A 24,624-nucleotide genomic window follows, 5' to 3' on the forward strand; every position below is an offset into this window, starting at 1 on the left:
GCCTCAGGTGATCTGCCCACCTCGGCCTCCCAAAGTGCTGGGATTACAGGCATGAGCCACCGCGCCTGGCCATCCACTGAGTTTCTAATTTAAATTATATCATTTCCCATTGCCAGAAGTTCTATTTATTTTCTCCTGTCTGCTGATTTCTTTCTTTCTCTTTCTCCCTTTTTCTTTCCTCTTTCTTTCTTTCCTTCTTTCTTTCTTTCTTTCTTTCTTTCTTTCTTTCTTTCTTTCTTTCTTTCTCTCTCTCCCTCTTTCTTTCTTTCCTTCCTTCCTTCTCTCTTTCTCCTTCCTTCCTCTCTTCTTTTTCTCTTTCTTTCCTTCTCTCTCTCTTTCTTCTCCTTCCTTCCTCTCTTCTTTTTCTCTCTTTCTTTCCTTCTCTCTCTCTTTCTTTCTCCTTCCTTCCTTCCTTCCTTCTTTCCTTCCTTCCTTTCTCCTTCTCTTCTCTTCTTTTTTCTTTTCTTTCTTTCAACAGGATCTTGCTCTGTCACCCAGGCTGCTGGAATGCAGTGGCACAATCCCAGTTCAATGCAGCCTGGACCACCTGAGCTCAAGTGATCTTCCCACTTCAGCATCCCAAGTAGCTGGGACCACAGGTGCATGCCACCATGCCCAGCTATGCTGGTTTCTTTCTTGTATCTTGTTTTTTGCTCAAATGTTAATCCTTCTTATTTATTTCTTAACACATTTTAAACATAGATATTCCTGGCCAGGTGCCGTGACTCACGCCTGTAATCCCAGTGCTTTGGGAAGTGGAGGCAGGAGGCTAGTTTGTGTTCAAGATCAGCCTGGAAACAGAGTGAGACCCTGTCTATACAAAAAAATAAAAAGTAAATTAGCTGGGTGCAGTGGTTCACACTTGAGGTGGGAGGATTGCTTGAGCCCAGGAGTTCAAGGGTAAGGTGAGCTATGATCACGCTACTATACTCCAGCCTGGGCAACAGAGCAGAATGTGTCTCAAAACAACAAACAGATATAGATATAGATGTAGATATAGATATAGATATAGAACCCATAACCTGAAGTTATGGGTGTTATTGTTTTGTCTGTTGTTTCTGCCAGCTCTTGCTAAACTTACTACCTTGTTTCTTGTATTACGATTTTTGACTGTGAACTAAATGTTCCTTAGAACTTTACCTGTGGGCACCTTTTTTTTTTTTGAAATGGAGTCTCGCTCTGTCACCCAGGGTGGAGTGCAGTGGTGTGATCTCGGCTCCCCGCAACCTCTGCCTCCCAGGTTCAAGCAGTTCTCCTGCCTCAGCCTCAAAAGTAGCTGGGATTACAGGTGCGCACCACCATGCCTGGCTAATTTTTATATTTTTAGGAGAGACAGGGTTTCACCATGTTGACCAGTCTGGTCTCGAACTCCTGGCCTCAGAAGATCCACCTGCCTCAGCCTCCCAAAGTGCTGGGATTACAGGCGTGATTACCGCACCTGGCCCACCTGCAGGCATCTTTATTGTCTGAAGTTGTATTCCTTCTGGAAGGACTGTTATTGTGATTATCCAAAACTATGTTTAGAGGGGTTTGGGCATCACAGCCCTTGTGTGAATCGTGGTTGTAAACTTGCGTGAGAGCTACCTGATAAAGCACACATTCTCAGGGCACGTTTTCCTTCACTACACCAAGGTCAAAAACAGAAATGTTTTATTGCTCATCCCCTCTGAGCTTGAGTTTACCTGTCACTCCTCCTCTGGGTTCATCTTTTTGTGAAGATCTCCTAGTAGACCCCTCACGTTGGCTCTGGATGCACCTGTTTCTGCACCCTATGTAGTGAGTAAAATGCAAGGTCAGCGTCAGCAGATTCAAGAGAGACCCTCAAAGCTATAGTGGCACTGGCTTTCGGTGATCTTCCAAGGTTCCTATTTTCATTCTGTTTTCAGCCTCTGCAAATTTCTTACTTTGTTTCTATTTTGTGTGTGTGTGTGTGTGTGTGTGTGTGTGTGTGTGCCAGTTTTCTTGGAGTTAAAAAGTGGATTTTTGCATTTTTCTGTTTTTTTAAAGTTTTTGTTGGGTGAGTCATTCTGAGTATCTAGTCCACTCTACTTCCAGCAACAGAAGTCTCTCTCTGTCTCTCTTTCTCTTTCTCTCTCTCTTTGTGTGTGTGTGTGTGTGTGTGTGTGTGTGTGTGTGTGTTTGTTTTAGTCAGGGTCTCACTCTGTTGCCCAGGCTGGAGTGCAGTGGCACAAACTCAGCTCACTGCAGCCTCAACCTCCTCGAGTGATTCTCCCATCTCAGCTTTCCAAGTAGCTGGGACTACAGGCATTGGCCACCATGCCCAGCTAATGATTCTATTTTTTTTGTAGAGACAAGGACTCACCATGTTGCCCAGGCTGGTCTCAAACTCCTGAGCTCAAGCGATCTGCCCGCCTTAACCTCCCAAAGTGCTGGGATTACAGGTGTGAGCCACCACGCCTGGCCAGAAGCCTCTCATTTGGTTTCTAATTTTCTTCTTTTCACTTAACCTTTCCTTTGGTCTCATTCATTCTTTTTGCCCATTTTTTCTCTCTGTTTCTGTATACACATGTGCTTGTGCCTGTACACACATACATACATGCATGTATGCACACACATACACCATTCACTAGGGTTTCCCAAAATGACCAGCGAGAATGTGTCTCCCTCATCCACTCCTCCTGTGGTTTCTTCCCTCTCATAAGCTGCAAAGGCCATCACCACCTGAGGGAGTCACCATGACTGGTTCCTCCACGGCCCCATCTCCTGTCCACCTTCAGTGTTGGTGTGGGATGAGCAAAGGTGTGGAAGCAGCCCCGTGGAAGCCGAGAGGACAGCTGTGGGCTCCCATTTTGGGATTTTGTGTTGCTCTGCTGTCAGTGGGTGGCTCATTTATTCGCTCATCATCATTCATTCAATAAGCACTTAGTGAGTAACCACCCATGTGCCACGGCTCAGTACTAAACCCTGGGACATAAAAACAAATAAGATGTGACTCCCACTCTCGAGGAGCTTATGGTCCAGGAGGAAGCTGGGGGTTAAACCAACATTTACAACAAGATGTGAGGGGTAAGGAGGCAGAGCTAGGTGCCAAGTGCTGTGGCGACATGTGACAGGAGCAAGGGACAGTTGTACGGGGGACTCTCGGGCCCTGGAGGTGATGCTTGACTGCGTGTTGCAGGATGAAGCATTGGAGGCAGGCCAAGCACCGTGTCTCAGGCCTGTAATCCCAGCACTTTGAGAGGCCAAGGCAGGAGGATCCCTTGAGGCCAGAAGTTCAAGACCAGCCTGGGCAACATAGTGAGACCCTGTCTCTACAAAAAATGTTTAGAAAACTAACCAGGTGTGGTGGCATGCACCTGTAGTCTCAGCTACTTGGGAGGCTGAGGCAGGAGGATCGCTTGAGCCCAGGAGTTTGAGGCTGCAGTGAGCCATGATCGCACCACTATACTCCAACGTGGGCAACAGAGCAAGACCCTGTCTCAGAAAAAAAAGAAAGATTGAGGCAGGGCATTAGGAGTGGAGGACCATTCTGAGATTCTGAGCAGGGCATTGGTGAGGATTGCAGAGGAATGATGGGCCACAGGGCTGCAGGGCAGGCTGAGGCCCAGCCGAGGAAGGCCTGTGTATAATGCAAAGGAACATTAACTTGATCCTGAAGACAAGGGACTCAAGCAGCCCCTGCACTGCCACGCAGAAATGCCGACACACAGTCATGTGCACTTTAGAAAGGGCCCTTCCCCGACTCTGACAGCTGCCATCAGAGGGACACAGTGAGGCCGGGATCTGAAGATGTTAAAGTAAAATCAGTTGTCATCCTTCTTTTTTTTTGAGACAGAGTCTCACTCTCTTACCCAAGCTGGAGTGCAGAGGTGCGATCTCGGCTCACTGCAACCTCCACCTCATGGGTTCAAGAGATTCTCCTGCCTCAGCTTCCCGAGTAGCTGGAACTATAGGGGCCCAGAACCACACCCAGCTAATTTTTGTATTTTTAGTAGAGACGGGGTTTCGCCATGTTGGCCAGGCTGGTCTCCAACTCCTGAACTCAGGTGATCTGCCCACCTCGGCCTCCCAAAGTGTTGGGATTACAGGTGTGATCCACTGCATCCAGCCTAGTTCTTGTGCTTTGATTTTTTCAGCTTACATCCCCCCTTTGCCATCAGATGGCTGTCCTTCTTGGTCAGTCTTCCTGGCTATCATGCACAGCGTCGTTGTTGTCTTGATGATGTTCATGGTGATGGGAAGGGGATGTGTTGACTTCTGTCTCCTGACCTAGGATCACGGTGTGGACCATGCGTGGCCCAGGTCTGGACACACACCAGTGATTAAGTTTCAAACAGATGCTGTTTTTGGCATTCCTGTCTGAAGATAGAGAAGTTTAAATACTGTTCCCAGTTCATGCATATTCAGTGTTATCTTGGCCAATTAGAGGCTTTGAGTATGAATGAACGAGAGCACCTTTATGTCATTGGATCCAATGACACTTGCCTTCTCTGGATTATTTGCGCCCACGTGGCTTGAACCCTGTCTTGGCAAGCAGGAAGGGCTGGTTGGTCTCCAGGCTCCTGCCTGGAGTGCAGAGGTGAAGAATGTTCTTTGAAGGTTCCTGTTGTGGCACCACCTTCGGTCTTTCTTGGGCTCTCAGACCCTCCACAGGAGGTCAGAGGTCATCTTTCCTCCTCGTGGCTGACAGCAGAGTGCAGTGGCCCCTTTCCAGCTGCCTTTAGCTCTCCACTCACAGAAGTGCCACTGTTTCTCCTGTATTGGAGATGGACAGGTGGCCATCAGCTTCTTTTGGGGGACACATGTTACGAACCTATCACTCCTTCACAAATACTCTCTTCAGAGAGGGGTCCATAGGGCTCGTAGCTCAGGACAGAGCTCCGGAGCGCCCCCCAGGCCAATTGTGTGGGCAGATGGGGAGCGTGAGGGGCTGGCCTCGGACTGGGTCATCTTACTCCTGGCGCGCAGCCATGGCCTTGCTATCCTTGGCCTCTCCCCTTGCTGTCAAAAAGGGGGCCTCTGTGGGATCATCTCCACCTCAGTGCCCTCTGCCCCTTCAGAACCTAGTGGAGGTGATGGACCCCCGAGAGGTGTTAGAGCCGCGTTTCAGCGCCCACCGTGTCTCTAAGGGTCAGTGGAGGGAGGGAGCTGTTCCCTTCCTGTTTGCTGAGCGGGTGAGTCGGGTGAGGTTTCATGTGCGCAGTACAGTGTCTGTTCTGTTTGGCACTGGAGGGTCGCTCAACACCACTGATTTACAGCTGGGTATGGTGGCTCACGCCGGTAATCCCAGCACTTTGGGAGGCCAAGGCAGGTGGATCACGAGGTCAGGAGATTGAGACCATCCTGGCTAACATGGTGAAACCCCGTCTCTACTAAAAATACAAAAAATTAGCCGGGCGTGGTCGCGAGCACCTGTAGTCCCAGCTACCCGGGAGGCTGAGGCAGGAGAATGGCGTCAACCCGGGAGGCGGAGCTTGCAGTGAGCAGAGATTGTGCCACTGCACTCCAGCCTGGGCGACAGAGTGAGACTCTGTCTCAAAAAAAAAAAAAAAAAAAAAATTAACACCACTGATTTGTGCAGTCACACACATGCCAGGGGCCCGGACTGCAGTTGTGCCTTGGAAGGCAGCATTTGTCCATGGAATTGGAGAGAGACGGGGGCTGCTGCTTTCCAGAAGCTCAAAGGACTGTCTGAATCTGTGTGGGGTTTTCTCCCTGGAGCTGTTTCATGCACAGACCCTGCATAGAGCAGGGAGTCCCCAAGGTGGGAGCCAGGTGGGCACTTTTCTTTCTGCTGCCCCATTTCCCCAGTAAATAAAAAAGAGAAATGGCCAAGCCCAGTGGCTCACACCTGTAATCCCAGTATTTTGGGAGCTTGAGGTGGAACGATCGCTTGAAGTCAGAAGTTCAAGACCAGCCTGGGCAAAGTAGGGAGACCCCATCTCTACAAAAGTTTTTTTCACATGTGTTGGGGGGCTGAGATGGGAGAATTGCTTGAACCTGGGAGGTCAAGGCTACCTGAACTATGATCACACCACTGCACTCCAGCCTGGGCAACATAGTGAGACCCTGTCTCAAAAAAAAAAAAAAAAAAGAAAAGAAAAAACACACCAGTTGCACCATAAGACACTGGCATGCTCCTAGAGGAAAAGCCTTAGAAATTACCATTGAGACTCTTCTTGATACTTGGAATCCCCTGAACTGTGCCTTTGTCTGACTTTGATCTCTTGGCTCCAAAGTCTTCAAAGCTATCCTTGACTTTTGCCTGAGATCCGAGTCTGCTGGGGCCTGGCCTCTGATTCTGATGGAGCCCATGCTTTCAGATGCGGAGAAACAAAAATGCTACACTTTGGGTTTTGTTTTCCTTTCTCAGCAACTTGTGTTCAATTCAGTGACCAATTGCTTGGGGCCGCGCAAATTTCTGCACAGTGGGAAGCTCTACAAGGCCAAGAGCAACAAGGAGCTGTATGGCTTCCTTTTCAACGACTTCCTCCTGCTGACTCAGATCACGAAGCCTTTGGGGTCTTCTGGCACCGACAAAGTCTTCAGCCCCAAATCAAACCTGCAGTATAAAATGTATAAAACAGTAAGTTGGATTCTAGATTTTGCATTATCAGGGTTGACGTGTTTGGGGAGGAAGAAGTTTCCAAAAAGGAGGTAGAGTTTTAGCAGGGTCAGGGGCTGTGGCATGCAGGAGAAGGCCAGGAGTTGAAATGCGATTTAGGGTGTCCGGAGTGGAGGACGATCCATATCCCGCCGCAGTGTCAGTGACACTCAGTGCTATCGGTGGAACATATTGGCTGCCAAATGGCTGCTGTGGTCCCCTGGGATGTGACAGAGGCATGCTTTAGCCTGTAGGAGCGAAGTCTAGGGTACAGATGAGGCAGGTGTGAAAAAGCTCGGGAGAAGAGGTGCAAAACAGCACCCAGGGCCCACCGTCGCCTCCAAACAGTCCTAAGTCCCCTGCCAGACTTCTCCAGGTAGCTTGAAACATCCGAGCCCCCTCCTTTCTAGCAAAGTCTCTCTAAACAGTTGATACGTGGAGAATTTCCCTCAGCTGTTTATATGGTCTGCTCATACGTGCATGGCTGTGTTTGTGTGTCTTTGTGTCACGGGACGTTGTTTTTCTAAATTTGTCTGCATGGGGGTGTTTTTACAGAAGAATTTTCTCTGAGGCAGCAGTTAGCTTTATTATGGGAAAAAAAAGAGCTATGTAGTTATATAGTTACTAGAAACTTCATGTGAAAATCTTTGGAGGGAATTGCTTGATGTAAAGTGGATGAAAACTGCTGTTTAGAATACACCAGGAAAAGCGACACCAGCCAGATCTTATTCTGAAAGACTTAAAACATACCCGCAAAATCGTGGGCGGGGGAACCCATATTTATCATATTTATAATTTGTAATATGTAAAAGTTGATGCTAACCCAAAATTATTATTCTGGGATTCTTTACTGGAAAACACACACGCCCTTAGTCTGGTTTACTGGAACACACCCAGAAACACACACACATGCTCAGTCTAGGTTACTGAAACACACGCACGAGTGTGCACACACGCGCTGACTTGCAGTCTCGTTTACTAGAACACATTGGCATAAGTGTGCTCACACACTCACGGTTTACCGGAGCACACAGACCCCCAGCCTCGCTTTGTAATGCCTGTGTGTTACTTTCCAGCCTATTTTCCTAAATGAGGTTCTAGTAAAATTACCCACCGACCCTTCTGGAGACGAGCCCATCTTCCACATCTCCCACATTGACCGCGTCTATACTCTCCGAGCAGAAAGCATAAATGAAAGGTGAGACCTGCCGCCTCCCCAGCATGGGCCCCAGGGCTCCACGGCTCTAGGACACACAAGGGGCGGGTGATTAATCAGGTGCCAATGTTTCCCAAGTGGCAATGCCATCACCCCTAGCTGGGAGTGGGGATGGGGCTATTACTTTTTTCTACAGCCTCTCAAAAATCTGTCACATGGCATGCCCTTTCCAAAATAACATGGATTCAAACTAATTTTGCTTGAGTTTTTTTTTTTTTTTTTTTTTTTAAGGCAGAGTCTCACTCTGTCACCCAGGCTGGAGTGCAGTAGTGCAGTCACAGCTCACTGCAGCCTTAACCTCCTGGGCTCAGGTAATCCTCCCACCCTAGCCTCCCAGGTATGTGGGACTACAGGCATGTGCTACCAAGCCTGGCTAATTCTTTATATTTTTTTGTAGAGATGGGTTCTTGCCATGTTGCCCAGGCTGGTCTTAAACTCCTGGGCTCAAGGGATCCACCCGCCTTGGCCTCCCAGAATGCCAGAATTCTGGGATTACAGGGGTGAGCCACTGCACCTGGCATTGTTGTTGTTGTTGTTGTTGTTTTATTAAGAAATGTTTCGCATTCTTTGAGGTAAACAGAGCATCTCAGGTTTCCCCTGGCTTCCCAGGTGGCAGAAACCAATAGGAAAGTAATTTCGGGGTTAATAGGACCACGCAAACCCAAACCTCTCCTCACCTTGGCTGACTTAAATGGGCATTCTGGAACCTAGGGCTGTGGGTATTTTGCTTCAATCTGTCTTCAAGACACTGCCCTGGAGCCAAATGAAATAGATCATTTTCTGAAGGGTGAACTTGACACAAGGCCAGCATCATTCCAAAGAGCATTTGCACCAAGCAAGAAAATTGGCTAAAGCTTTTGTGCATATGGTTCTCAGAAAAAATGAAGGAGAAAACCGCGGCCACAAATGCCTTCCCCCAAGGCGTTTTGGTCTTTCGTGTGAAGTGGTTCCCAATCTGGGAAGTGGTTTTTGTTCTTTCTTTGCGTGATTTCATAAGCGAGATCCTTCTGGCTTTGTTGGATTAGGCAAATATGTGCTGCTCTTCGGTAAGGAAGGAAGAGGAGTCGTGTCCCGATGTTGCCTCCAAGACAGCATCTATCACAGATTTTCTTCCCCGGGGACATCATCGCAGGTCTTGAGGACATCCATGGAAATGGCCCTCATGCCTTTCTTATCGATGGCAGGAATAAGTATTAGCGTCACGTGACATAAAATCAGATTTTCTTTCCCGAGCCTTTGTTGTTAAAATCAAATGAACAAAGAAACAGAGTCCTGGCAACAGTGTTTGAACAGACCTGAAGCCTTTTTCCTGAGTTTCTGTTTGGCAACTTTCTGTCTTTTTCTGTCCAAGGACTGCCTGGGTGCAGAAAATCAAAGCTGCTTCTGAACTCTACATAGAGACTGAGAAAAAGAAGCGCGAGAAAGCGTACCTGGGTAATGCATGGCCCCGCGGGGTGTCCTGCACAGCTGGGCAGGAGGGAGGGCCATTTGGCTGGGCTGAAAATCCTCAGAATAGAAGAATCCCCTGGACCTAGAGGAGGGGCATGGAATGAGATGGAAGTGAGCTTGGGGTGGGATGCAGATGGGGATGGAGGGCAAATTCCAGGAGCAAGGAAGCAAGTGTTTAAGGAGAGGGAAGAATTACTTTTGAGTCGGGAGAGGTACATGAAATGCATTGTGAGGCTCACAGAGATGGGAAAGGTGTGGCACGTTCAAATGAAGCATTTTGTGTTTTTCCTGCCGTCATAGTCCGTTCCCAAAGGGCAACAGGCATTGGAAGGTTGATGGTGAACGTGGTTGAAGGCATCGAGTTGAAACCCTGTCGGTCACATGGTAAGGCTGTGAGGCGCCCCCGGCTCCTGCTTTGGGGTTGGGAGTAGGGTCCGGGTTCCCCACACCCCCACCTGGCTCTAGATCAAATGTGCTATTTCCATACTCCCTGATCTCCTTCCAGAATTGGTTTAACTAGCACTTGTTAAAAACCTGGAGGTTTTGTGTTTTTTTTTCCATCCTTTCTACCATTCTGCTTCTCCGAGGGATCTGAGTGGCTGCATTCACAGTGGATGTGACACAAGATCAGGCCAAAGTAACGAGACAGGAAGGGCCTAGTTTCAAAGCCCACTCAATTAAGTATTTGTTTTTAGTTTAAGGATGAAGCTGACTTCTGGGAGTTTCCACCCGGATTCTCCACCGAATGACACTTATTAAGCATAGCAGTTATTAAGAGTGGGGAGCGGCCGGGCATGGTGGCTCACACCTGTAATCCCAGTGCTTTGGGAGGCCAAAGCAGGTGGATCACCTGAGGTCAGGAGTTTGAGACCAGCCTGGCCAACATGGTGAAAGCCCGTCTTTACTAAAAATATAAAAAATTAGCCAGGCATGGGGGCAGCCACCTGTAATACCAGCTATTCATTCAGGAGACTGAGGCAGGAGAATCACTTGAGCTCAGGAGGTGGAGGTTGCAATGAGCTGAGATCATACCACTGCACTGCAGCCTGGGCGACAGAGCAAGAATCCATCTAAAAAAAAAAAAAAAAAAGAGTGGAGATCAAAATGAGGTGTGAGTTCCACCTGGCGAAGGCTTTTGTTCCCTCCAGGAAAGAGCAACCCGTACTGTGAGGTGACCATGGGTTCCCAGTGCCACATCACCAAGACGATCCAGGACACTCTGAACCCCAAGTGGAATTCCAACTGCCAGTTCTTCATCCGAGACCTGGAGCAGGAAGTCCTCTGCATCACTGTGTTCGAGAGGGACCAGTTCTCACCAGATGGTGAGTGGAACGCGGCCCTGTGGTTATTCCTCCTTCCCTGGCACTCGTTTGCGTGGGTTAATGTTTTCTTACCTGGGGACTTGGTGCCAGGATTCCTTCGGTTTCCCTCCTGAGAGATGAGGCTGGCTGGCACAAGACGAGGCTCTGTCTCCCCTGGAGGAGTCTTCTGGAGGCGTCTCATTGCATGTGGACAGAGCATGCTTGGTCTAGAATTGTGCCAGCTGCCCTGGGCAAACACGTCCATCTTCTGCTTTCCAAAGCAGGTGACTGTGGAGAGGGGTGTGTTTAAGAGCCTCAGCATAGTTCTTCAGTCCTTGGCAAAAAGCTGTGCTGGCAATGGATGAAACTGGCCAATGGAACAAGGATGTTAGCCCACAACAGGAGCCGCAGAATGGGCCAGGTCCCTTTGGGTGGCATTTTTGTACCACTTATTAAGTAGGCAAAGGGATGCAGTCATGTTGAATGAATCATTTCTTCAGCCAGCCTTCTGTTTCTGCTTGGGCCTGGAAAAGAATAGTCTCAGCCCAATGATTCCAAGAAACTACCTGTCTCTCCCTCAACCCAATAAAAATCACCGGTGGGCATGGTGCTGCAGGCCTGGAATCCCAACACTTTGGGAGGCTGAGGCAGGAGGATCGCTTAAGCCCAGGAGTCTAAGACCAGCCTGGGCAACATAGTGGGACCTTGTCTCTACAAAAAAATACAAAACTTAGCCAGGCATGGTGGCATGCACCTGTAGTTCCAGCTACTCGGGAGGCTGAGGCAGGAGGATTGCTTGAGCCTGGGAGGTCGAGGCTGCAGTGAGCCATGATGGTACCACTATATTCCAGCCTGGGCAACAGAGCAAGATCCTGTCTCCAAAAAAAAAAAAATCACAGAGTAAGTTAAAAGATTATGGTCTCAACTTAATTATAACCGAAGAAGTGAGGGTCAAATGCTAGCATTATCTGTACAAGGTTTAAATGGCTCCATATGGCCTTCATCTTTTAGTACTTTTTATATGAATTATCTCATTGTGAGTTAGGTACTCGTTGTGGTAGCTGGTTAAATGTTTGAGTGTGACTGGAACAGTTTGGCTCCCAAGTCTGGGCTCTTAACTACTATGTGTACTGTCAACTTCTAATTCTTTTTTCTTTTTATTTTTTTTATTTATTTATCTTTTTTCTTGTTGTTCTCGCTCTGTCACTCAGGCTGGAGCACAGTGGTGCAATCACAGCTCACTGCAGCCTCCACCTCCCAGGCTCAAGCAATCCTCCTGCCTCAGCCTCCTAAGTAGCAGGGATGACAGGCATGAACCACCATGCTAGGCTAATTTTTAAAAATTTTTTGTAGAGACAGGGTCTCACTCTATTGCCCAGGCTGGTGTCAAACTCCTGGACTCAAGTGATCCTCCTGCCTCGGCCTCCCAAAGTGCTGGGATTACAGACGCGAGCCACTGTGCCCGGCCACCTTCTAATTCTGAGAGATAAAGGTTGGGGTTGGGTTTTTTTTTTTATTTAAGTAATGAAATACCATGACACATTGGCAACTCCGCTGGGGAGCGAGTTGGAAATCCTAGTGTTGGTTTACATCAGAGCCCAGAGAAGAAGGGAGAGCATAACAGTTCATCAGGGGGTCCCCAATATGCCAGACATGTGCCTCGAAGAGAGGGAATGGTCCCTCTTAGGAGGGTCTGTTTGTTCTCTTTTCAGATTTTTTGGGTCGGACGGAGATCCGTGTGGCGGACATCAAGAAAGACCAGGGCTCCAAAGGTCCAGTTACGAAGTGTCTTCTGCTGCACGAAGTCCCCACGGGAGAGATTGTGGTCCGCTTGGACCTGCAGTTGTTTGATGAGCCGTAGGCAGCGGGCTCAGGGTGTGCTCAGCAGGGTCCCAGCCCACGGCCACACATGCTGTCTGGAAATTGTATTCCTTTTCTAAGAAACCACCATTTGGTATTCAGTCACAGGGATATGGGATGGCAAAGACAGGCCCCTCAAAGCTCCTAGGAATCATTCTCGACAATCCTCCCTGCCCCGAAACAATTTCCTGTTTCATGAAACAAAGCTGTGTTTTCCTTTGTCCTCACTACAGGTCTCATTATGGCTTCTAGGGTCGCTGAAATCCCATAGCCCTCAACAGGGTGCAGCTGGGAGTCTAGCCCCTTCCCGGGCTTGAGGGATGGGTCTGGTTACTATAAAATAGATTTATAAATGCAATGTCTATATTTTTGGAGAACTCATGTAACCCTCCTGTTTCTTACATCCACCAGTCCCCAAGTAGACTTCTTGGCCTACAATGCCCAGTCCTTGGTGTGAGTTTAGAAACAATTATGACGGTCCTGTCATTGCTTCAGAATCCCATCTCTCCTGCAGGGAAATGCTGCCTAGAGCTGATCACTCGGTGAGACGGTCTGATCAGGCCCTGGCTTAGCTCTTTGAAGAGCTGGTCTATGGAAGTTTCCAGCATGTGCACCGTTATAGCCGTTCCTTCCCCCTCTAGGCCTTGTATTAATATATGTCAATGAAAACACACTGGTGTATTGTTGCGTGGATTCAGTTCTGATTCCCAGCATGCTTAGAATATGGTCACAGAAAGTCATTATCTAGAAAGTCACCCCTCTGCTGGATCAGATCACTACAGGTCACTGGAAAGGCAACTTTACAATGTTGGGTCACTGGGTCTCGGTTGGCAGCCATGTTGGAAAAATCTCTTTTGGCTCGGAGGCCTGTGATATTTCATAGCAGCAGTCGTTGCTGGTGACCTGTTCTGTGCTTGAATGTGCTGAATCCTGATTGTTGTAGGACATTTCAACAGCTCTTTTTGGTACGTTCCCCAAAAAGCCATGTCCTAGATCCCCAAGGCGTGAAAAGGAAAAATATCAAGCTGGAGGTTGGGAAAGAAAATGAAGGCAGTCCATTATGTGGTGGGTGAAAGACCCTAGGAGGATGCAAGCCCCGCACATCCCGGGGCAAAGACCTAAGACACTTTTCCACCCTCCACCACCCCAACCTCACATAATATGCTTGTTGCAAGAGTCAGGACTTTATGACTATGTGCCAAGCTGTTTGGTTTGAGTTCTTTAATTTTTTTTTCCCTTAAATGCCAGGAGATCATCTGGTTAGTTAGATAGTAACTTGATTTGCTAATGAAAAGTGGGGGCCGTGTTTTGTTTGCATGTTAATATTCTCATAATCCTAGTTTGTTGTGGTCATGAAATGTCCTTTGCATGTTCTGTTGGTACTGGAGTCTAGCTTTCCTGTACTAGATGGTGTTCTCTTTGATTGTAGGTCCTTAGACTTTAATTAGGGTTATCAAAGTGCTTTCTAAATGATAGCATCAGCGTTGTGGCAGAGTACCTCCTTTGCTGGGAACTGAATGTGTAGTGTTATCATTTCCCATGAGAGCCCGGTCATACTTCAAGCAATTTTTTTAAAAGTGTGTGTTGGAAAGGACAACAAAGTTTACATTTCATACTTTTAAGAAATACTTTATTATTTATTTATTGAAGATAGTGTAGAATTTTGTATCAAGAACAACAGACATAAGTATTTTTTGAAACAAGCAAATATACCCTGTAGTTAGAAACTTTCAACTGAACATGTTAGAGACCAAGTTTAACTTCAGGCATGCATTTGTTTACCATTTCCCAGCAGAAAACATGGTTAAAATACTTTAAGTTTATATTTTTTGATGTTGTTAAGAAACTTTTAAATTAAATCTATAAATAGACATGCAACTCATGCTTTCCTATTTCTATAACCAACACCGTTTGTTTAGTGTATTTATGAAAGATATGCTACCATGGTAGAAAGAAAAGTATTCAATGTGTAAATGGGGTAGTGTGGGTCACCATTCCGATCTCTTTTTGTTTTCTGTCCTGTCTTTTCTTCATTGACTTTATTTGCGTGTTAATGTTGGACATCATTGTTCATGTAGGTAGCGTATGGTATGCACAATGACAAACAATCGTTTTAGGTCCCAGGTCACCCACTCATAGTGTCCTATTATTGGAATTAATGTAGCATGAGAAAGCAATATGTGACTCTTTTTCCTCAAGTGACTCTGTTGAGCATCCTTGAGATGCTCCTGCCATGTAGCAAGTTCTGGATTAGTGTCCTTGTATTTACTGGTGTAATTTGTAATGTAACCAATTGTCCGTATGGAGGAGTCGGGCTGGCCCTCGGACCCAGCTGTGATTCATGAGTTGTGTCACAGGGATTGAGAAACATGGGTGATGCATGGAGTCTCAAACCATTGGGCCTCTCTGTTCCTTCACCTCTACCTTCTTGACCACCTGGGCTATATTTCATAGAAATTAAATGCTCCTTGCCAACAAGGAGTCTGTCTCCTAGCTCTTTGTTTTCTAAATATAGGAGTTCTCTAGGCCACTGCATCCCGGCATCCTGATCCCAGCCTTTTAGACACCCCTGCAAGCGTTCCTCTGCTCTGAGCCACACTGCTAGCTTCTCCTGCACACTCTGATCTCCTTTAGCCCAAGAAGGGGCTGTGCTGGTCATAGGGTTATGCTGTAACCCTCAGTCTTCCCTGAGAACTGAACTATCCTGGGACCTCTTGGGCTGAGCCTTCTTCACAGAGCAGTTCTCTAGAAGGCAGAGTCCACATCCTGGTCCCTCTGGGGCAGGGCCTGTCTGGCTGCTGGCATCACCCTGGCAGGTGGATGGACAGCATCATCTCCTGGAACCAGGTTTGCTGTGACCATGAGAGCCTGAAGATGTGGCTCATTCGGATCCAGGCCTGGACTAATCTGGAAAGAGGGACTTTCTAGGTGCAGGTCACCAGGGATGCTTGAGAAACTAGAGCCAGACTTCCTTGTTTGTTTGGATAATATGTCCCTGTCCTCTGATAGCAGAGGAAAGAGCTCTGCTCCCAAAGAACATTCATGTAAGAGGAGGCATTTTTTTCTTCTTTGCTTTTTTTAAACAACCTAAAGTATGACCTAAGTGTATGAAACTAACTGATTTCTTTGGGTAGAGTAGCCCTGAATTTAACTGGGGAAAAAATCCCATCAGACTATGAGTAAATTGACCACCCACATTAAGTCTTATCTCGGTGACCTGGTACCAAAGCCCAGGTGTCCTCCAGGGGAGTATTCTGGGGTGGCAGGGGGATTAGGTGCTAGCGCCAGCAGGGAAGGACACTTGCAGGTCTGCCTTCCAAGGCTAAGCAGGCCGGCTGTCTCTCCAGGAACTGGCTAGGACAAGTGTAAAGCCACTGACCACACAGAACCAGGATGTTCTAGAATCTGATGGGGCTGAAGATGAAGGGAGAAATGGACAAGGCACTTCTGGCTTTATTGAAAAGGTGAAGCTCTTGGAGTATATTTTAGAGTAGGCCAGTACCTTGTATAAGCAGAAAAAGACTTCTCTATCTCCACTCCAAGTCGTTTTTTTCTAGTTGATTGGGCCTTTTTGATTGATAAGAAGAAAATGTGTTTTGTACGTGTAACAACTTTAAGAATTTCCATTGGAAACAAAGTATGATTTGATTTGATTTGATTTCTAAGTTCTCCCTTCCTTTTCAAGGTTAGCGATGTGCTTTATAGCAGACACTAGCACTTTTACATGAATACCTGGTGTGCTTTGGATGTAACAGGGTCATTTTGGGCTCGAGGTGAGTGTGCAATTAGCAGCAGGTCTGCTTGGTCCAGATATGCTTGTTTACAAGTTTAGAGCATCCTATGCCAGAAAGTGAGATGAAAACAAAGGCACCTGGATTGCTTTGTTTTGCTTTTAGATAAAAGAGCTTTAGCTCACACCAGGCAGAAGCATAACCAGTAGCCCCAGAAACCGGTAGCATGATGAAGCCCTCAGACAGTATAGTCTGAGCCACCATAAGAGGCATTAGGGAAAACTAACACCTCCTTCTTTTTGCACCGTGGGGTGCTGAAATTCCTGCTAGAGACTTCCCCTTACTTCCATGAATGGCCCAGGGGCTGCTTAGTATATCATTAGAATGTTCATTCTCCTCCTTTTCCCTGGAGTGGACCAGTGAGACCAAATGCTTGTGTTTCTCTATGTTTTCAGTTCATTTGTTCAAATGACCCAGAAGATGAATCCATTTCTGGGAAGGCTGAGCTCAGATGAGGATTGCTAGGCCAGCCTAGGTTCTGGGGCGGATCTCAGGGACAGAAACAGGCTTGTATTAAGTATGAGTGGCAGGTACTTCTCTAGAACAGCCCTAACCTGCACTAGTGAGGGGGGCTCAGGAATTCCCATGACATTGATCTAGCAGCCTCCTGCACGTAGACACTCAGTTCATTTTAGGGACGTTCAATGCTTGATCAAATGGGGGGCATTTTCTTTCTTTCTTTTTTTCCCCAGCTACAGTGTAATTGCCTACCTGCCTGGGCCCCTTCTAGAGGAAGGTGGGCTTTCCTTGTCCGTCAGGCTGCACTCATGAGGTGATATCGTAAAGCAGCAGAAAGACTGAGGGTGCAAAGAAACCACAGCTGCCATTCACGGGGCAGCTCCCTCTAGCTCTTCTGCCCAGTGACCTTACAGGCTTTAGAGGAGCCTGATGAGAGCTATCCTGGGGGCCAAGGGATGCATTCCCTGCAGCTTCCTCCTGGGGGACCCACAGGTCAGCCCATTCCAGGAGAAGCAGTCTTAGGCCCGTTTGCATCCCCTGCCACTGCCATGTGCCTGCCAGCCCGGTTTCTGATGAAGACGTGGCTCAGTCCCTGCTCTCCTTGTCGCAGTGGCTTGTACTTCATGTGCAGTAGCCCAGGGCCCGCCTTCTAGAGTGAATGTTTCCCTCGAGCCCTTGGATATTTTTATTCTATTTTGAATGGTTCCGATCAATTAATGTTGCTTTGTGTGGGGTTCTTCAGAGAAATAATGCAAACCGGCCAGGTGCGGTGGCTCACACCTGTAATCCCAACACTTTGAGGGGCTGAGGCAGGTGGATCACCTGAGGTCAGGAGTTCGAGAACAGCCTGGCCAACGTGGCGAAACCTTGTCTCTACTAAAAATACAAAAATTAGCCAGGGGTGGTGGCAGGCACCTGTAATCCCAGCTACTCAGGAGGCTGAGGCAGGAGAATCACTCGAACCTGGGAGGCGGAGGTTGCAGTGAGCCGAGATCACGCCACTGCACTCCAGCCTGGGTAACAGAGCGAGAGTCCTTCTCAAAACAAACAAAAAAAGAGCTAATGCAGACCTCTTCTGGTTAGACCTGACACGGAGGAAGTAATTGGCTGGTCAACTTAATGGCGCCCCACAGCTTCCTCTGGATCCTGCTTCTTTGTACTTGGAACACAGTTTATTTGAGCTAGAGGAAAGGAAAGTTCTAGAATTCCTGTTTCCTCAGCCTGCACTGTATCAGATCCAGGATATGTCTGCATTTCATCAGGATCAAGTAAGATACATAACCTTATATCTGTAGGAGCCAGAAAAAAAAAAATCTATTCCTGATAGGCATGGAAACTTAGTCCACATGAAAGACAGAAGACATCTAACAGCTGTCTGTCTTGGGAGCATTAAAACCCAGACACCAAGACACACTAGACAGTCCATCTCTGGGTTGTGATCTCTCAGAAACATCTTAGTAGTTAATGCACTGTTCATTTAGGGAGTCCCCATCCTGGTCCAGGCCACCCTCCTAGAAGCTGGGCGGCAGCTGGACGGGCCTGCCTTGGTGGCATTCAAGCAAGCCTAATTGGATTAGGTTGGTGCAAAAGTGATTGCGGTTTTTGCCATTGCTTTTGATGGCAAACTAACTTTAAGTCATTAAAATAAGACCCAACGCTTATAAAAGAGTTCATATCCACCTCCCAATAACTTCTTTAGTTCCATGCAGCCTCAATCAGTTCCTCCATTCAAAGGAACCCTCTTTACCCTGGCCCTGGGGGAGCCATATTACACCCACATCATAATTTTTCTGACACTATGTGTGCTTGTCAAATTTCAGGGTCAGTTTCCCCTTATTGGATGTCAGGGGTGTTTTGTGAGTTGTGTTTTAATAGGATTCTGTTCGATTTTCTATACCAGCCTATATTGTTACTATCATCTGCCTAGTATGAATATTTTAGTATTCAAAGCCCACCAGATAAAGCTGTGTTCAGAAGTGGACTTTTTGGTCAGCCTTGAAAAAAAAAAAATCAGCATTTCTCTGATATTTCCTGAGGATTAACCAGAAACTAAGGTTTCTTTTTAGGCAGTGGTAAGAATGCGTATTTTCTTCTTCCAGAAGTTCTGGTTTTATACTTTTATCTTTTGAAAGAATAACATTCCTGTGCGACTCTGCTTCTCTTCGCTTTTGCATTTCTCTTTTTTAACTCAAATCTCTTATTTCCTGCCGTTCCTGTATCTAAACAGAATGGGGGCCTCAGGCAGACAGGAACCAAAGAAAGGGTGTAGTGGCTTTGCAGCGTTGGGTGAGCAGCAGCCGCTGCCATTCTGTGCACTGTCACCGGCGGGGGTGGAGGGTCTCCCTGTAGGAGGAGGAAACTCGCTGTTTTCACTGGCAGATTTCAAGGTGCCGGCTCCACCTACCGCAGCTGCTAGGCATTGCTCTTGTGTAGATCGCAGAAGGAGTTATTGGTGATGTGGGGTGTAGGGGAAGACAGGAAAACGGACTCAGAGCTAGGAATGTGGGCCTGGCAGAGACCGAAGGCTGGGTGGGAAGGAAGCTCGCGGCGAGCCTAGGGTTCAAGCCTAGCGCGCCAGGGGTCTCCAGTGAGACCTTGCTCTTCCCTGCCGCTGAGGCTGGGGCTGCACGGAGGTCCTCAGGCTTCCCACCCTTTCTGCATCAGCTTTAGTGTCTGTCGGCTGGGTGGACTGCAGGGCAGGTGACCTGGAGGAGGCCCTGCTCCCCAGCAAGCGTTCTAGGAGTTACGGTGTGCTCTATTGGGATTGGATTACAGTCTCTACTTGTAGACTTTGACTTCTGGAATTTTAGGTGGAAGGGAATTTTTGTTGGTGGGACGCAGCAGCTCAGTGCGTGGTGTGTGCATGCGTGTTTGTGCGTGCGTGTGCATGTATGTGTTTGTGCGTGCACGTGTGCGTGTGTGTGCATGGGTTTGCGTGCATGCATGTGTGTGCGTGCGCGTGTTTGTGTGTGCATGTGTGTGTGTCTACGTGTGTGTGCACGCATGTGTGTGCGTGTATGTGTGCGTGTGTGCATGTTTGTGAGTGCATGTGTTTGTGCGTGTGTGCGTATTTGTGTGTGTGCGTGTGTGTGCGTGTGTATGTGCGTGTATGCATGTGCATGTTTGTGTGTGCGTGCATATGTGTATGTGTGTGCGCGTGCGTGTGCGTGCATGTGTGCGCATGCGTGTGTACCTACCCACACCTAGGGGGATGCATGGCTCTGTGCCTTGGAGAGGGAAACAGGAAATACGTTGCTCCACAGTCCTGTCATCCTGGTCAGGACTAGTCGCGTGGTTTGCGGACAGAGTGCAAAATGAAAATGCGAGGCCCCTTGTTCAGGTGATGAAGCATTTCTAGACAGTGAGAGGAGAGCATTAAGCCAAGCTCAGGTCCCTTCTGAGTGCATAGCCCCTTGTGGCTGCCAGGCAGCACACCCAGGAGGCCGGCCCTGACCACACTGTTCTCTGCTGGTTCCCGAAGCTGATGGGCTCTGTCTTAGGTCTTCTTACTTTGAAAGGTCTCCCGGCAGGCTGTGGCAAGCTGCGCGGATACACTTTTCTAAACGTCTGCATTTATTTCCTAAAAGCACAAATGGCCTGGACTAGCTAGTGGGTGTGGAACCGAGCCCCTAGTTCACAGCTGTACCCCAAGGCTGGAGAGGGGGTTGCCGGTGGTGGCAGGAGCTCTGGGCTCCCAGTTCAGGATGGGCCACAGGGCGTCAAGCAGCTGTGAGCCTTTACCATTGAGCTCACTGCTTGGAAATAAAACCCTTCCTCTGGGCCTTGGGCATCCACTGGGAGCTTTTCTCCCCTTTCCTGGGAGGACAGCAAGCCTTTTCCAACCTTCTGCCTTCAAAGAGAAGCAGGGTCATAGAAGTGCTCAGTGTCCCTTCCCCAGTGGCTGGACACTTGCTCCTCCAGCCTTCACCCCCTGGAGAGAAGGGGAGTCTGCGGAGCCAGTGCCTCCCTGCCCAGCTGGGCCACACGATCTGGTCTGCGGGTGTCTGGGAGGAACCTGCTTCGGAGAGGCTGCGACCTCCCAGCTAGACTCTCCCCTTAGGATCCCATGTATGGGGATGGTAGGAGAGAAAAGATCCCTCTGTGTAAGTAGCCTCAAGTTCTAGAAGACCATGGCCCCGGGAGGCAGCTGACCATGAAGCTGGGCTTCCTGTTGTTGCTTTCTTTCACGAGCTTTTACTTTTCCTGGGCTGGACGCTCCAAAATGTTTGCAGTTCCATTTGCTTTTTGCAAGTAGGTCCCCATCTCCATATACATTGAGCAATAATCCTCACTATGTTTCCTGATTCTGTCTGGGATTATATTTGCTAAGTAAAAATGTTGACAGAAATTGCAAACTCATCTCACCTGGATTTGATTGAGTCACCTTGAATGACATAACAAATTATGGCTTTGTTTTCATGCGTCATGCAATCTTCCGGACTACGGGAAGTTCTGCAAGTGTTCTCCAGGGGCATTTCATTAATAGCGTGTCAGCATTAGTTTTAATGAATGAACATTTGAGGTACATTCTATAAATCAATATCCTTAAAATGTCATCTGCTAAACATTCACTGTGACAGAAAGTAGATATTTTAGCAAGATCTATGTTAATGCTACTTAATTTTAGACATGCATTTAAAGCCTACATGGCCAATAGCCCAAGTATCTTTGAACTGTGAAATCAACCTCAGATCTCATCTGCTGTAGCCCCGCAAGCCGGAGTCTGTGCCCTCCATGACCCTTCTTATCCCTTGGTGGCCCTGCATAGATAGGGGAGTTGGCCCCTGCCCACCCCGTGTTGTATTGCCTTAGCTCCATCAGCTTTGTACCCTCACACGTATAGGTGGTGAACTTATGTGTAAATACATGTGTACAGATGAGAAACTGCAACAAAAATGTCCTGTGGATGATAATCAGCTCAGTTTCCGGTTTTCTACATTCTGTGCTGTTTCCAGCTAAGAAAAAGGCGAACTCCCACTATATAAAGGGAAAAGGTTGTATTCATTTCATGTTCCTCATGAAATCTCTGCTGTATGTTTATGGAATGGCCATGACTAAATGTATATATGGTATGTAAGAGGCCATGCTGTTAAATGTTGCATAAACTAACACAGATTCTGTAGTCAAAAATATTTAACTTGTTATTGTAAAATGTGATTTGTCATTGAGAGATTATTTTTCTGTATGTATATGAGAGTATTTTAGGAATCTAATTTAAGTGCATAAAACTATAGAAAAAAATTTAAAACCTATTCCAAGAGTAGAAAATGCTTAATGAGATTACTTGGGTTCAACTCAACTAAATTTCTTATATTAAAAAAAAATTCCAAGTTGTATATGTTAGAAATCAAATGAGTCATTTTTTTTCCTGCAGGAAATATGATAAATTTCAGTGTAATGGATGGTGGCGTGATCAAATGAAAAGTATCCTGTAGCTATGACCTCGCATGGGACCTTGGTGTTGCATTAAAAATGGATTTTTGCAGATCACATATCTGAGAGGGTACTTGTGTCAGGAAGGATGAGAGGATAGGGAGCCTGTTTTTCATCAGATCCATGTGCCACGCAGGCTTCCTTGGGTTCTAGTGGATTTGTTAGGGATCTGGGGCTGACGCAGCTATCCCACTAGAGAGGCCACTCTCTGACTTCCAGGTCGCCCTTTCTACTTCTGTATCTGGATTGATTCAGTTTATCCCTAATTAGCGTTTGCGTTTTCCATGAAATTTCCTGATGCATCCTCACTGTCTTCAACTGTTGCATAGCCAGGTGGGTGGATGGATGGTTTAGGGTTTCTGAGTTAAGCCGTTTTGGGGCAGGCTTCTGGATGCCCATGTTTCCATGGAGACCCCAGGGGGAAGATGCCTTCCTCCCGTCTGCATTCCCAGAAAAGGATCAGAAGTCCAGGCTGCTTCTGGGGCACAGACTTTCTGTACTTGGCCACCAGAAGTGCCCCTTAGGCCACCTAAGGAGGATTCTGTGAAACTCAATGTCTAAACCCCTGAGAAAGGCATTCAGAAATGATTTCAGGAGGGGGCAACCCCAGGAGTCCAGCCTCCCCTGGCAGCCTGGAAATACTGCAGTAACAAAAAGAGCTGGTTTCTGGTGATCTGAATGCATTGTGTTTGGGGGTGACACCGCTGGTGGAAGGTTGAGGGCCTGTGGTCTGAAAAGACATCTGAAGAATGTGTTAGGTTTTCAACATTTCTTTGAACAGGCTGCGTGCATCTTAATGCTGTCAACCAGCAACTGGAGCCCCTTTTTTGAGAGGCCCGAACCAGTAAAGCTGCTGACTTCAGGAGTATGGGAAGCTGTGATTTCTGGAAGCTTCCTGGAATCTATTTAGGTGCATGAATAATCTGCAAATCACTTAGAGGCACTGTCCATGTGGTCCATAACTGGCTTTATTCCCAAAGATGGAGCTGTTCAGAGATTTCTTTGTTCAGGCGCAGCCTTGGAAGGCCACCTAAGGCCTGCCAGCAGAGGAGATGAGCTCTGGTCTACCAACCCCAAACAGGCCCTGACTCTCCTTCCTTAGAACGATGCCCTCTGGCTGGGGTGGCAAGAGGGCTGTGAGTGGAAACAAGTCAGCCAGTCAACTGTCCCTTGGGCCTTGGTTGTTTCAAAAAAGTCTGGGGACAAGAAAAGCTAGAACATGGGGCCCTCCCTTCCCAGGAGTGCTAGCGAACCCTCCCAGATAGCCTTTGCCTGTTTGGAAAAGAATGTAATCCATCAGAACGTGAGCTCCTTGTGCTTCCAGTGACAAGCGGGCCACAGTGCTGGTGGCATGTTGCTTCCCTCACAGCCCTGCCCAGGGGTAGGACCAGGCCCGCCCCTTGATGGATGTGCTGTTGATTGTAATATACTTCTGTTGCCAAATAATGGTACTGTTTAATTTTCCATAAAAGAGAGACTATATTGTCTGATATGTAATGTTAATGGAATTCTAAGAATTACTAGACACTATTATAAATTGTAGACTTACGTATTTGTCTAAAGGTTTGATGAAGCAGGGCCAAAACATTGTTTCTTCTTTTTTGTTTGAAAGAAGCTGAGGTTTGTTTTTGCTGTTTGAGTGTTCCTTTGGCAACTTATTATGTGTGAAATGTTAAATTTTACCGATTAAGATGATGGTAACTGAGACCTTTCTTTAAACCAGTAGCAACATCAGTACAAATTGCTCTTCCTGTGTATCTTGAACCTAAAAAGAACAATCTCTTCAAAAACAAAAACAAAAACAAAAAACAACTCTTTGGTCATTTTGACCTGTGTGGTTTAAATTCAAATAGTTCATGAATAAAAGGAGAAAAGCCAATCTGTTATAGTGGATTATTTTGGGTTCTTTCTGCTTCACTCTTTTCTGAGAGCACAGGAAGCTAACAGCCCTGCAAATGGTGTCTCTTCCTCTTCCCACAGATAAGATTGTAGCTGTGCAAGGAAAATTGTGCAGAAATAAACCTAGAAAACAAAACCAACCAACAACCCTTTCAGCTGTCCTGCGGCTTCAGATAAATGTTAGCTAACACCAAGCAGAAATAGATTTCTGTGTACGAAGTCTTTGTGAGAACAGGAGAAGTTTTGTGTTGTACAGCATAAGAAATTCTGAGGGTGGGGTTGAGAGGGCGGTGCAAAAAGCTGATTTTCTTATAAAGACATTCAGAAGGGTCGCTGAATTTCCAGGAAGAAGTTTCTAACACACGTAACTCCACGTGTTCAGCACTTGGGTGATCTATAATTCTGCGTTCCATAAAACCCAACGCTGAATTGTATTAGGTTGTTTCCTCCTGTTCTGGTTTTAAGGCCATTCCTACCTATTTCATCACTGATTTAACTGACTATAAATAAGTCCTTTAAATTCTCTAGCTGGCTTGGACACTAGTTGAATTGTGACATAGCACATTTTTAAAAAGTTGACCCTACAGCAGTATGTCTTTGCCTTTTTAAAACTAGTATGCCCCATTTTTGAAGAACATAAAATCGTATGCC

General features: G+C 47.1%; 1 protein-coding gene across 12 annotated transcripts in view, besides 3 other annotated features; it reads left to right on the top strand.

The window, feature by feature from the left end:
* Positions 1-23,953, top strand: part of ITSN1 (intersectin 1) — a 257,361-nt gene extending 233,408 nt beyond the window's left edge. For all 12 annotated transcript variants that reach the window (XM_017028428.2, NM_003024.3, XM_017028431.3 and 9 more), the window contains 6 exons: positions 6,335-6,547; positions 7,642-7,763; positions 9,133-9,215; positions 9,531-9,614; positions 10,379-10,552; positions 12,244-23,953. In XM_017028428.2, coding sequence (XP_016883917.1) covers positions 6,335-6,547; positions 7,642-7,763; positions 9,133-9,215; positions 9,531-9,614; positions 10,379-10,552; positions 12,244-12,392 — 825 coding nt within the window. In that variant the 3' untranslated portion in view covers positions 12,393-23,953. The remainder of the gene's footprint in view (positions 1-6,334; positions 6,548-7,641; positions 7,764-9,132; positions 9,216-9,530; positions 9,615-10,378; positions 10,553-12,243) is intronic.
* Positions 9,154-10,353: an enhancer, noted in NCBI's record as "BRD4-independent group 4 enhancer chr21:35257366-35258565 (GRCh37/hg19 assembly coordinates)". NCBI's record gives its function as "activates an origin of replication core promoter dependent on BRD2, P300/CBP, MED14 and CDK7 cofactors, and independent of BRD4, by STARR-seq in HCT116 cells {active_cell/tissue: HCT116}" and the evidence as "EXISTENCE:reporter gene assay evidence [ECO:0000049][PMID:35650434]".
* Positions 18,975-19,561: an enhancer, noted in NCBI's record as "H3K4me1 hESC enhancer chr21:35267187-35267773 (GRCh37/hg19 assembly coordinates)". NCBI's record gives its function as "activates a minimal SCP1, AML or CMV promoter by ChIP-STARR-seq in primed H9 embryonic stem cells {active_cell/tissue: H9 hESC(primed)}" and the evidence as "EXISTENCE:reporter gene assay evidence [ECO:0000049][PMID:30033119]".
* Positions 19,562-20,147: an enhancer, noted in NCBI's record as "H3K4me1 hESC enhancer chr21:35267774-35268359 (GRCh37/hg19 assembly coordinates)". NCBI's record gives its function as "activates a minimal SCP1, AML or CMV promoter by ChIP-STARR-seq in primed H9 embryonic stem cells {active_cell/tissue: H9 hESC(primed)}" and the evidence as "EXISTENCE:reporter gene assay evidence [ECO:0000049][PMID:30033119]".

The sequence above is a fragment of the Homo sapiens genome, chromosome 21 (genome assembly GCF_000001405.40).
Source record: "Homo sapiens chromosome 21, GRCh38.p14 Primary Assembly".
NCBI classification, from domain to species: Eukaryota; Metazoa; Chordata; class Mammalia; order Primates; family Hominidae; genus Homo; species Homo sapiens.